Source organism: Homo sapiens, chromosome 8 (genome assembly GCF_000001405.40).
Source record: "Homo sapiens chromosome 8, GRCh38.p14 Primary Assembly".
In the NCBI taxonomy this organism is placed as follows: Eukaryota; Metazoa; Chordata; class Mammalia; order Primates; family Hominidae; genus Homo; species Homo sapiens.
This window is the reverse complement of record NC_000008.11, coordinates 38335547-38348554: the sequence shown is the minus strand read 5'-3', so window position 1 is coordinate 38348554 and position 13008 is coordinate 38335547. Positions and strand designations below refer to the sequence as shown.

Below are 13008 nucleotides of genomic sequence, written 5' to 3'. Positions count from 1 at the left end.
TATTTTGCAAACACCAGTTTTAACCTGAGACGATCTCTAACTTGGGAAATAAAAAGGAATGTCAAAACTATTTCGTGTGTTGGTGGTGATGATAAAATCTTGTTGCCACAGTTGTTGTGAAAGTAATCAGGAGTTTCAAACAGATAAGCATTGAAGATAAAAGGTATTTGCCCTGTGTCAGAATTATATCAGTTATCTGTTTTAGAAATATTTAATGTCTATGCATATCTGGATATGAAAATTGAGTTCAAAACATTTTAGTTTAATCCTTTTTCAGTTGATTAGCCTCTAGCCTATGAGAATAGTAACACCTTCTAATCCCCTCTTTTATAATTTTAGGCCCGATGAGAGAAAGGGAAAGTTAAGGATGCTGGAGCAGAACAATGGATTTCTCTTTCTCTTTCATGCAAGGGATCATGGGAAACACAATTCAGCAACCACCTCAACTCATTGACTCCGCCAACATCCGTCAGGAGGATGCCTTTGATAACAACAGTGACATTGCTGAAGATGGTGGCCAGACACCATATGAAGCTACTTTGCAGCAAGGCTTTCAGTACCCAGCTACAACAGAAGATCTTCCTCCACTCACAAATGGGTATCCATCATCAATCAGTGTGTATGAAACTCAAACCAAATACCAGTCATATAATCAGTATCCTAATGGGTCAGCCAATGGCTTTGGTGCAGTTAGAAACTTTAGCCCCACTGACTATTATCATTCAGAAATTCCAAACACAAGACCACATGAAATTCTGGAAAAACCTTCCCCTCCACAGCCACCACCTCCTCCTTCGGTACCACAAACTGTGATTCCAAAGAAGACTGGCTCACCTGAAATTAAACTAAAAATAACCAAAACTATCCAGAATGGCAGGGAATTGTTTGAGTCTTCCCTTTGTGGAGACCTTTTAAATGAAGTACAGGCAAGTGAGCACACGAAATCAAAGCATGAAAGCAGAAAAGAAAAGAGGAAAAAAAGCAACAAGCATGACTCATCAAGATCTGAAGAGCGCAAGTCACACAAAATCCCCAAATTAGAACCAGAGGAACAAAATGTAAGTTGAAAAGTCGTTTTGAAAAATTTTGTTATATTTCACATTTACTGGAAGTTCAAGAGATCTTTTTGGTTTTTATCTCTTTAAATATGAATCTGTCTGATAACTTCTTTAATCACTAGCAACGTGCTCAGAATATTATAATAGGTGCTGAGTATTTGTTGAATATATGAATGGACATGATTAGTTAAGAAATATTTTTAAAACATGTAAAACGAATCTTTCTGCTTATGTTTCTTTGTCCTGATGACCTCGGTTATTTTTATTTGCTTACAATAGACTGTTGGTTTTTGAAAATCAAGAGGAAAGGCAAAGAGAAGATAGCTAATTATATTGGGTTTTCATTATTTTAGACCAACTTTTTCCAGTAGAGCTTAGATTTAACACTCATTGCTAATGTTTGCTACAAAATAACCTGAAATAATAGAAATCTTTTTATTAAAATCAGAGTTAGTATTAATAAATATTGATTAAAACTTCAGGTGAGTTTTTATAAAAGTCATCCTTTATAGGTAACTTAAGATATATGCTGCTGAATTTTTTAATATCTGAGATTTCAGCGTGAATTTGCTTAGCAATAATATAATAAGTATGTAACATAATTCTAGCTTAAATGAAGAGTTCATAATATAAATTGCAAATGTTTTCTAAACTTTGACTTGGGAAAACTATATTTATTTTTATGACAGCTATCTGCTTTTATATGTGTTATACCTGAATAAGTTAATTTATTTTCTGTTCAAAGAAATGTTTACTTCTTACCTATTCATCTTTTCCTTGGTAGCTGGCTTCTATTACTTCATACAACTCACATGTGATGTTTTTCTGGAGTAAAGGTCACAATGCTTCTAGACTCTCACAAGTCCCAGTGTGACATTTCAACATGTTTTCTCACTTTTTATAGTTTTCTTATTTATTCATTAACAAATGTTGGTGAAATGCTCCTCCTACTGTGTGCTAGGCAATGATCTAAGACTTAAAGGTATGACAATGAATGAAAAGTAGAGATGCCTGCTCTCAGGATGCTTATATTCTAGTGAGGGGAGCCAGAAAATACACACACATATACATATATATATACACATATATACATATATACAATATATATTTATATATACATATATATACATATATACATATACTATATATACTATATACATGTGTATATACATATATACATATACATATACTATATATACTATATACTATATATGTATATATACATAGTCTTCATAGCATCTAAAGCTAACTTATGTACACACATATACATATGCATATATACATAATACATAGGTATGTATATACATATATGTATATATACATATATACATACATATGCATACATATATGTATATGTGTGTACATAAGTTCTCATAGCTTTAGATGCTATGAAGACAATAAAACTGGGTAATGAGATAAAGAGTAATCAGTGATGTTTCTAGTAGTCATTTTGCAATGAGATTCTAAAACCAGTTCTGTCTCTGTTAGATGTCTGCTATACCTAGTTCTTTATATCACCTAAACCTTCAGTTAACTATTATAGCTCAGGATTAGAATGTTTAGATTTTATTTTATTTTATTGTTTTTGAGACGGAGTTTCACTCTTATTGTCCATGCTGGAGTGCAGTGGTGCAATCTTGGCTCACCGCAACCTCCGCCTCCAGGGTTCAAGCAATTCTCCTGCCTCAGCCTCCCGAGTAGCTGGGGACTACAGGCATACCACCACGCCTGGCTAATTTTTTTTTTTTTTTCAAGTAGAGACAGGGTCATGTTAGTCAGGCTGGTCTCAAACTCCCGACCTCAGGTGATCCACCTGCCTTGGCCTCTCAAAGTGCCGGGATTACAGGCGTGAGCCACTGCGCCTGGCCCAGATGTTTAGATTTTAATTTAAGGGTTTTAATTCATTTTCCCTTTTATTGAATCATGATGAGCAAAATTTACTATTTGATTGTTTAGGATCTTACAATAGCTTGGGATAAAGGAATATCAACTTGACCAAAAGTATAGCTGGAGAAAGTGGCATTGACTGCCTGGAATATTACTAGGAGCATTGCCTGAAAGTCGAGTCTTGGGGGGAAATCCAGGTTTTTTTCTTGTTCGTTCTCTCTCTCTCTCCCTCTCTCCCTGTCTCCTTCTCCCCCTCTTCCTCTCCCTCCCTCTCCCTGCTCCCCTCTCTGCCCCATTCCTCCCCCTTTCCATCCTACCCCCTCGTCCCTTCCCCCTTCCATTCCTTCCTTCTTCTCTCCCTTCTTCTCTGCCTCTCTCCTCTCTCTCTCTCCCTCTCCCTCTCACCCCTTCTTTCTTCCCTTCCTTCAAAGAAGTAAAGAGGTAAGTTCTTGTTAATTGAATTTTGATTAATTGGAACTGTATCACACACGGGGGCAGTTGTAGAAGTTGTAGTCCATTCTGACCACAGACCTTCAAAGCCAGAGCTCCCACAGCTCTTGCCTATCGTTAATGTCATGCTTTTGCTAAGCTAGAGATGTGTATAAATTAATGTTTCACAACTGCATATATTTTTAAATTAGATTTCCTTAACTTGAACAACATCTACAGTGCTTCCTTCAGGACAGTTGTTTTAAGTGTTTTAATAGTCAATACCCTATGCCTACTGGTTGTCCATAGGGGTCCCAGCCCTTGGTGTTTAGCATTGTAGAGAACTGAGAAGTGAAAAGGAAGCCCAAAGAAGCATCCACTGACTTCACTGGACAGCTTCCCTCCCCCAGATGCCTCAGGGAAACATAATGAAAAATGTATTCCTGGAGAAAAAAGTCTGATTTAAATCTCCTGGAGCTGGATTTGCTTTTATATAGATTTTTTCTTTTACTTTACTTTGTTGTTGTTGTTCCTTAAAAGCTCACTCATAGGTTCATAGGTTCTTTTTTGAGCAAACAAAATCTCATATAGTTGAGTTCCATGTTTAAGTCCGGGCATGGTGGCTCAATCTGTAATACCAGCCCTTTGGGAGGCTGAGGTGGGTGGATCACTTAAGGTCAGGAGTTCAAGACCAGCCTGGCCAACATGGTGAAACCCCATCTCTACTAAAAATATTTAAAAATTAGCCGGGCGTGGTGGTGGGTACCTGTAATCCCAACTATTCGGGAGGCCGAGGCACAGGAATTGCTTGAACCTGGGAGGTGGAGATTGCAGTGAGCCAAGATCATGCCACTGCACTCCAGCCTGGGTGACAGAATGAGACTCTGTCTGAAAAACAAACAAATAAAAAAACACAACACCTTAAGATTTCACCTGCTACTTTTTTTCTTAGTACTTGATGTGTAAGTATTTCCCCCTAATTCTAAGCTGTTTGGCCTTCTGAAGAGTGGCTGTTATTTGGAACAACCTAAGTATATCTTCTCAGCAATGAAAATGTGTCCAAACATCTAGGCAGCAGGAGACCTGAGATCACTACTGAAATTGTATATTTTAAAAATCTGCATGAGCTGTTTTTCCTCCCACCAAATCAGAAATATGTGGCTGTGTTTCTGCATGTCTTCCTCCTTGGCAGGTGGAATGCCTCAGGCATGTGAGCGTAGGCCCTATTATTCAAACAGTCACTGGTCTCCTATCAGCACTTCAGTGGGCTAATCCACTAAGGCAGAGTCTCATTAACCCTTAGTTTGCCATATCCCCTTATAAAAAGCAGAGTGGCTGGATCAGTCCCGTGAACACTAAGGTAGCAGGTTTGGTTCTCTAGCCTCAGAGTATTAGGCCTTAAAATTCTTAGAAACTCTTTATATGCAAAATGTTCTTTATTGTACACATTTTTTATTTGATTTTATGTGTTTATTTTTGAGACAGAATCTCACTCTGTTGCCCAGGGTGGAGTGCAGTGGTGCAGTCTCGGCTCACTGCAACCTCTGCCTCCAGGATTCAAGCGATTATCCTGCCTCAGCCTCCTCAGTAGCTGGGATTACAGGGGTGTGCCACCACGCCTGGCTAGTTTTTGTATTTTTAGTAGAGATGGGGTTTCATTATGTTGGCCAGGCTGGTCGCGAACCCCTGACCTTAGGGTGATCCACCCACCTTGGCCTCCCAAACTGCTTGGATTACAGGTGTGAGCCACTGCACTTGGCCCACATTTTTTATTTTTAAGGTTACAAACTTAAGTCATTCAGAAAGTAAAATAAAAATGCACAATTTATTACCTTTAAAATTTTCTTTCCAACTTTAATGTTGACATCAGTTTTTTGTTCTTTTAGGGACTATGATTTTACTCTATGTTTTTGAAATTTATATAAGTAATATTATTAAGGCTTTGAAATTCTGACAGATTTGATGTGTATTACTAATCTTTTTTTTTTGAGGCAGAGTCTCTGTCACCCAGGCTGGAGTACAGTGGCACGATCTCGGCTCACTGCAACCTCTTGCCTCCCGGGTTCAAGCGATTCCTATGCCTCAGCCCCCCAGGTAGCTGGAATTACAGGTGTGCGTCACCACACTCAGCTAATTTTTTTGTGTATTTTTAGTAGAGACGGGGTTTCGCCATGTTGGCCAGGCTGATCTTGAACTCCTGACCTCAAGTGATCCACCCACCTTGGCCTCCCAAAGTTCTGGGATTACAGGCGTGAGCCACGGCACCTGGCCTGTAGTATACTCATCTTAATGAATGTCTTGGGTTTTAATAAAAGTAATAGGCTGAAGGCCGTGGTGGCTCACGGCTGTAATCCCAGCACTTTGGGAGGCCGAGGCGGGCGGATCACAAGGTCAAGAGATCGAGACCTCCTGGCCAACATGGTGAAACCCCATCTCTACTAAAAATACAACCAGGCGTGGTGGCGCGTGCCTGTAATACCAGCTACTTGGGAGGCTGAGGCAGGAGAATCGCTTGAACCTGGGAGGCAGAGGTTGTAGTGAGCCGAGATCATGCCACTGTACTCCAGCCTGGCAACAGAGCAAGACTCTGTCTCAAAAAAAAAAAGTACTAGGCTAAAATTTGTAAAGGAATATTTAGGATAATGTAATTTATTTTAGCTACTCTTAACATAATTTTTAGGTGTTCTTATGTGGAGTCAATTAAAAATGTAAAAAAGTGGTATATACCCACAAAATCATAATTTTAAAATTAAGATGAATTGAACATTAAGGAGAGCTAACTCACTGTCATCTTTTTCTCTGATGTTTTCTCTTTCTGACAAAGCAGTGGAATTAGTACCCAAAGAGGGTATCTCTGTCCCTACTTAATTTTAATGTCTTAAACTTGTCTCTGTCTCTGAATGCCTACCAGGTATATCTGTTTTGCTCACGTACATTTTATAATAGATACTCCCTCTCTATTATTGCAGCATCCTTACTTGAATTCTTTTTCTTCTCTTACTTATATAGTCTTGAAAGCTTAGAATAAATCCTCTTGGGCATCCTTCGCTCCCTAGCCACTTATTTCTTTTAAAATGACTGTGTAAAAAACTTTAATTCTTTGAAAGTGATTTTGATGGTGTTTCAAACCAGCCTGAAGGAAACACCAACAATCTGGAACAAATCAAAAAATTAAAAAAGATAAGACATTTGAATTATAAGATTTGGAAGGAAGTCCTTTTTTTTTTGTTTTTTTGGAGACAGGGTCTCACTCTGTCACCCAGGCTGGAGTGCAGTGACGTGATCATAGCTCACACAGCCTCAAACTCCTGGGCTCAAACAATCCTCCCACCTTAGCCTCCCGAGTAGCTGGGAGTATATAGGTACACATCACTACGCCTGGCTCTTTTTTTATAGAGATGGGGTCTCGCCATGTTGCCCAAGCTGTTCTTCAGTTCCTAGGCTCAAGTGATCCACCTGCCCCAGCCTCTCAAAGTCCTGGGATTATAGGTGTGAACCACTGTGCACAGCTGGTACCGTTTTTAACCTCAGGTATCTCACACATGCTACTCCTTCCTCCTGGAATGTTCTTTCCTCCATGTTTACTAAGCTAATTCTTCGTCCTTTGATTCTTAGATTGTAATTTTTCTTTTTTTTTTTTTTTGAGACGGAGTCTCGCTCTGTCACCCAGGTTACAGTCCATTGGTGTAATCTCAGCTCAGTGCAACCTCTGCCTCCCAGGTTCAAGCAATTCTTCTGCCTTAGCCTCCCAAGTAGCTGGGATTATAGGCACCCACCACAGTGCCTGGCTAATTTTTCTATTTTTAGTAGAGACAGGGTTTCACCATCTTGGCACGGCTGGTCTCGAACTCCTGACCACGTGATTTACCCACCTTGGCCTCCCAAAGTGCTGGGATTACAGGTGTGAGCTACTGTGCCTGGCAGATTGTAATTTATTTTCTTAGAGAGGCTTTTCCTGACCTTCATATCTGAAAATACATATACACTTACACTATTATTTATCTTTCTCTTCCTAGCACTTACTTTTTTTGTTTGTTGTTGTTGTTTTAAGAGACGGGGTTTCGCTCCATCACCCAGGCTGGAGTGCAGTCATAGCCCATTGAAGCCTTGAACTCTGAGGCATAAGCGGTTCTCCTGCCTCAGCCCCTCAGAGTAGTTGGGACTACAGGCATTTGTTGTTTTTAGGTACTGGGCCTCACTCTGTTGCCCAGGCTGGTCTTGAACTCTTGGCCTCAAGAGATCATTCCACCTTGGCCTCCCAAAGTACTGACAGGTGTGAGCCACACCATGCCGAGCCATAGCACTTACTTTTTAACTGGATGTTTGTGTTTCTGTTTTTTAATGTCAGTCTCTCCTGCCCAGCTGTAAACTCCTTGGGGTCAGGAATCACATCTGTTTGTTTCACTATTATATATAGCCTATATAGCTTCTAGAACTGGGCCTGGAACGTCCTAGGCACTGTGAAGTGAATGATACTTGGGTTTGGGGACATTAGTCTGGCTTATAGAACATATCATTTTCCTAAAACTTAAAAATCTTTTTAGGCCAGGTGTGGTGGCTCACACCTGTAATTCCAGCACTTTGGGAGGCCAAGGCAAGTGGATCACCTGAGGTTAAGAGTTCAAGACCAGCCTGGCCAACATGGCAAAACCCCGTCTCTACTAAAAATACAAAAATTAGCTGGGTGTGGTGGTGCGGGCCTGTATTCCCAGTTTCTCAGGAGGCTAAAGGAGGAGAACCACTTGAACCTGGTAGGCAGAGGTTGCAATGAGCCGAGATGGCGCCACCACACTCCAGCCTAGGCAACAGCAGAGTAAGACTCTGTCTCAAAAAAACAAAAACCTTTTTATACTTTTTTTAATTTAATAAAACTTTGTTTTCACAACAGTGTCTTTAAATGTTTTGAAATAATAGAATGAGAATTTTAAGTAGCTTTTAGAATTAATCATATTCTTTTAGTGGAGTGAAGACCTACTTTAATGGCTATACCCTCTTTTTAAGCCATCTAAATTAAATTCTGTTCTCTAACAAGTAACATATTTTAAAAATCTTTTAAATTGTAGAAGTAATTTGGTTTTTTTTTTACAGAAAAGACGAATAATAAAAAGGTATAGAATATCTTCCTTCACCATTTCCCTCATGTCATTCCCAAAAGATAATTACTGGTATCAATTTTGTTTACATTGTACCAAATATTTTCAAGGCATGTATAAATTACATATTTTTAAATAAAAAATTGGAAGATATTGGTAGACATGCAGATTACTGACATGAAATAATACTGTAGTTACCATTCCTCTGCTTAGATTTTCTTGTTTTGGATATTTCTATAGAATAAATTTCTACAATGTGATTGCTAGATGGAAGAGTGTACATATCTTGAATTTTGATAGCTACTTCCAAATTGCCTCCCTAAAGGGTTTTAGAAACTTCTTTCTTTCCTTTTTTTTTTTTTTGAGATGGAGTCTTGCTCTGTCACCAGGCTGGAGTGCAGTGGCATGATCTCGGCTCACTGCAACCCCCACCTCCCAGGTTCAAGCAATCCTCCTGCCCCAGCCTCCTGAGTAGCTTGGACTACAGGCGCACACCACCACACCCAGCTAATTTTTAGTGTTTTTAGTAGAGACGGGGTTTCACCATGTTGGCCAGGATGGTCTCAATTTCTTGATCTCGTGATCCACCTGCCTCAGCCTCCCAAAGTGCTAGGATTACAGGCGTGAGCCGCCATGCCCAGCCCATCTAGATTATGTTTAATACTTAGCTCTTGTAAGTAGCAATGGTATGCATATCTTCATACTTATCCATATTTTTTACATCTCTCAGTGCTTTTCAAATATACATTCTTAGAAGTAGATTTGCAAGGTCAGAGTCTGAAAATTTAATGTTTTTCATATATACAACCAAATTGCTCTCAGAAAAGTTTCAAGTTACATCTTACTAGTAATCTTAGAGTGCCCATTTTTTCTAGAATCTGAGCATTAAAAAGAAAATTACCAGTTTATTTAGAAATTAAGTGGGTTTTTTTTTTGTTTTTTTTTTTTGAGACAGAGTCTCACTCTGTCACCCAGGCTGGAGTGCAGTGGCACAATCTCGGCTCACTGCAACCTCCGCCTCCTGGGTTCAAGTGATTCTCCTGCCTCAGCCTCCCAAGTAGCTGGGACTACAGGCATGCGCCACCATGCCCGGCTATTTTTTTAATTTTTAGTAGAGACGGGGTTTCACCATGCTGGCCAAGCTGGTCTTGAACTCCTGACCTTGTGATCTGCCTGCCTTAGCCTCCCAAAATGCTGGGATTACAGGCATGAGCTACTGCACCCGGCCTAGAAATTAAGTTTTAAAAGTAACAAAATAAGAAAAAGGAGATAAAGCTATGATATGGGGTGGAAAATGAATGTTGAGACAGCATTAGGTATTGAGTAAGTTGTATTCTTACTCCTTACATTGTTCAGTTAATAAATGCCCTTTATTCTCTTTATTTAGTTTTCTTTGATTCTTTTTATGTATGTCACTGTTTTTTGTTTGTTTGTTTATTTAATGCCATTTTATTCTACTTACCTATACCTTTTCACCTAGAGACCAAATGAGAGGGTTGACACTGTATCAGAAAAACCAAGGGAAGAACCAGTACTAAAAGAGGAAGCCCCAGTAAGTTGTTTTACTGAATACTGTCTAACCAAATATGGTGGAAGAAGGTGAAACACAGTGATTGAATTGCAACACAATTGTATTGGTACTACGCTTCTTAATTTCAGAAATTATATTGAAATAAGTCTTGGAGCTGGTTTGATAGGTGGATATTTTCAGTGAATCATTTTCCTTTTCAAAACTATGACCTGTTTTTTTTTCAATTGATCATGTGTATTTTTTTTTTTTTTCTTTTTGAGACGGAGTCTCACTCTGTTGCCCAGGCTGGAGTGCAGTGGCGCAATCTCGACTCACTGCAACCTCTGCCTCCTGGGTTCAAGCGATTGTCCTGCCTCAGCTTGCCGAATAGCTGGGATGACAGGCACGTGCCACCATACCCAGCTAATTTTTGTATTTTTAGTAGAGACGGGGTTTCACTGTGTTGGCCAGGCTGGTCTCGATCTCCTGACCTTGTGATCTGCCCTCCTCACCCTCCCAAAGTGCTGGGATTACAGGCGTGAGCCACCGCGCCTGGCCGATCATGTGTATTCTTAACATGCCTTGTTAATAATTTGGCAACAGAAACCATCAATCCTATCTTCAGTATTTGGGGTGGGGCTTATTAATATTTTTCCTCCTTCCCTTTTGCTAGTTTTAGATAGGAGGCATCAGAGAAAAGTATAATTGAAGATAAATTTACATTGTTAGCACTTTTAATGTACTTTATACATAGTTTCTTTTTTTGAATTTCTGATGTTTTTTGACCCTTTCCTGTATCAAAGTATAATTGAAGATAAAATTACATTGTTAGCATTTTTAATGTACTTTATATCTAGTTTCTTTTTTTGAATTTCTGATGTTTTTTGACCCTTTCCTGTATCAAAGTATAATTGAAGATAAAATTACATTGTTAGCATTTTTAATGTACTTTATACCTAGTTTCTTTTTTTGAATTTCTGATGTTTTTTGACACTTTCCTGTATCAAAGTATAACTGAAGATAAAATTACATTGTTAGCATTTTTAATGTACTTTATACATAGTTTCTTTTTTTGAATTTCTGATGAAGTTTTTTGACCCTTTCCTGTAGGTTCAGCCAATACTATCTTCTGTTCCAACAACGGAAGTGTCCACTGGTGTTAAGTTTCAGGTTGGCGATCTTGTGTGGTCCAAGGTGGGAACCTATCCTTGGTGGCCTTGTATGGTTTCAAGTGATCCCCAGCTTGAGGTTCATACTAAAATTAACACAAGAGGTAAGAAAAGGCATAAACAGATACTAAGTAAAAGGTTGGAAATAAAAGTGACTTTTAAATGTTGTATGTGAATATAAGAATACACACGTAATATATAATCTGATACAAAAATGTGCATATCCGTATCAGTTTTGTGGATTTTTTTTTTTTCTTTTTTTTTTTGAGACGGAGTTTTTGCTCTGTTGCCCAGGCTGGAGTGCAATGGCGCAATCTCAGCTCACTGCAACCTCCGCCTCCTGGGTTCAAGTGATTCTCCTGCCTGGGCCTCTGGAGTAGCTGGGATTACAGGCACCCGCCACAATTCCTGGTTAGTTTTTGTATTTTTAATACAGATGAGGTTTCACCATGTTACCCAGGATGGTCTTGAACTCTCGAACTCAAGGGATGCACCTGCCTCGGCCTCCCAAAGTGGTAGGATTACAGGCGTGAGCCACTGCGCCCGGCCTCTGTATCAGTTTTTAAAACCAGTGAAATACTGATAGTCATTTTAAATTGCAGAGTGCTTCTATGGCTAATGCAGTCCTTGTTTCCCTTATGATACCCTACATTTGCTTATAATTTGCTTACACTTGCTTTTTTTAAAGACCTTAATCTGACTGAAAATATGACCTCATATTTCCTAAAGAAAGCATATGGACAAGCGATCAGATGTTTTATATGAACTTAATAAGCATTTGCGCCAAGCCTTCTTTGAACATTTTTATTTCATCGTTGACTGCTATGGATAGTAATTTTTTACCCAGACAAGTACTTTTCATCCTGGCAAATTTTGCAGGATGCTTTTTTTTCCTCTACACTCCATTCTTGAATCGGTAAATTTACTGGGGCATCCTTGTAAATTTGATATGACATGTAGCCTGAAGGTTGCTATATAATATAGAATCCTACCTTAGGAATGTTAATAAAAATTAAGAAAGACAATTCTAACTTTTCTCTACTCCTTTTCTGGGATTTGACCAAAGAATGATGTGGAGTAGATTGCTGAGATTCTAGCATTTGAAATGAACTTGCTTAGTAGCCAAAGAAAGGTTTGAGCTTGGAACTTACTTCTGGGTGTTAACTTTGTGAATTGACTCTTGTCATGTGTAGAGTTCCTCATTGTCTGTGACAAGTTTGTACCTGTTTCTTTTTCTTTTACTTTAAACCATCTGTCTTGGTCCTTGTTCACTCTTCTGAAGGGAAAAAGTATCTCTTTATGTCTGGCAAGGCACATTTGTGATAGGATCAGCCATATCTGTGATTCTTGTGCTGCATAACCAAGAATCTCTCCCAGTATAGAAGGCCATCTGGCTCAACCATTTTTCGTCTTGTCAATGTGACCTGCTGATTAAAGGTTAGGAGACGGGATGTGTCAGCGAGGCAGAAGTGAAAAACCAGCATTGTTGGGTGTCTGCTTTAGTGCAAGGTCCTGTGTTCAGTAGTTCTCTTATATATTTTCTTATCCAATCCTCATAGCAGCAACACAGTGAAGTAGGTACTTTTATTATCCCATATTTTAAATAGGTAAACAGAATCTCAAAGAAATCTTAATTTCATAACCTCTCCTCCTAAACACTGCCTTATATTACAGGGAAAGCAGTTAAATTCACCTAGTCATCATTTACAGAGGTTGGAGGAGGCAGTCTTATTATAGTTCCTTCATTTATATAAGAAGGGTATTGGACTAGTCATCTCTGAAGTACCCTACCCCTCTAATAATCTATGGTTATATGAGTGGGAAAAGAAAAGACAAGGATTTTCCAAGAAGACCATGCTTTC

General features: G+C 39.0%; 1 protein-coding gene across 2 annotated transcripts in view, besides 1 other annotated feature; it reads left to right on the top strand.

Moving 5' to 3' along the window:
- NSD3 (nuclear receptor binding SET domain protein 3) overlaps positions 1-13008 on the top strand; it is a 112568-nt gene that overhangs the window by 33717 nt on the left and 65843 nt on the right. For both annotated transcript variants that reach the window (NM_023034.2, NM_017778.3), the window contains exons 2-4: positions 340-1058; positions 9948-10019; positions 11088-11250. In NM_023034.2, coding sequence (NP_075447.1) covers positions 384-1058; positions 9948-10019; positions 11088-11250 — 910 coding nt within the window. In that variant the 5' untranslated portion in view covers positions 340-383. The remainder of the gene's footprint in view (positions 1-339; positions 1059-9947; positions 10020-11087; positions 11251-13008) is intronic.
- Positions 1124-13008: part of a mitotic recombination region, noted in NCBI's record as "NUP98-NSD3 recombination region recombines with the NUP98 (NSD3) recombination sub-region within the nucleoporin 98kDa recombination region", that runs on past the window's edge. NCBI's record gives the evidence for it as "EXISTENCE:nucleotide sequencing assay evidence [ECO:0000219][PMID:11986249]" and "EXISTENCE:Southern hybridization evidence [ECO:0000078][PMID:19380029]".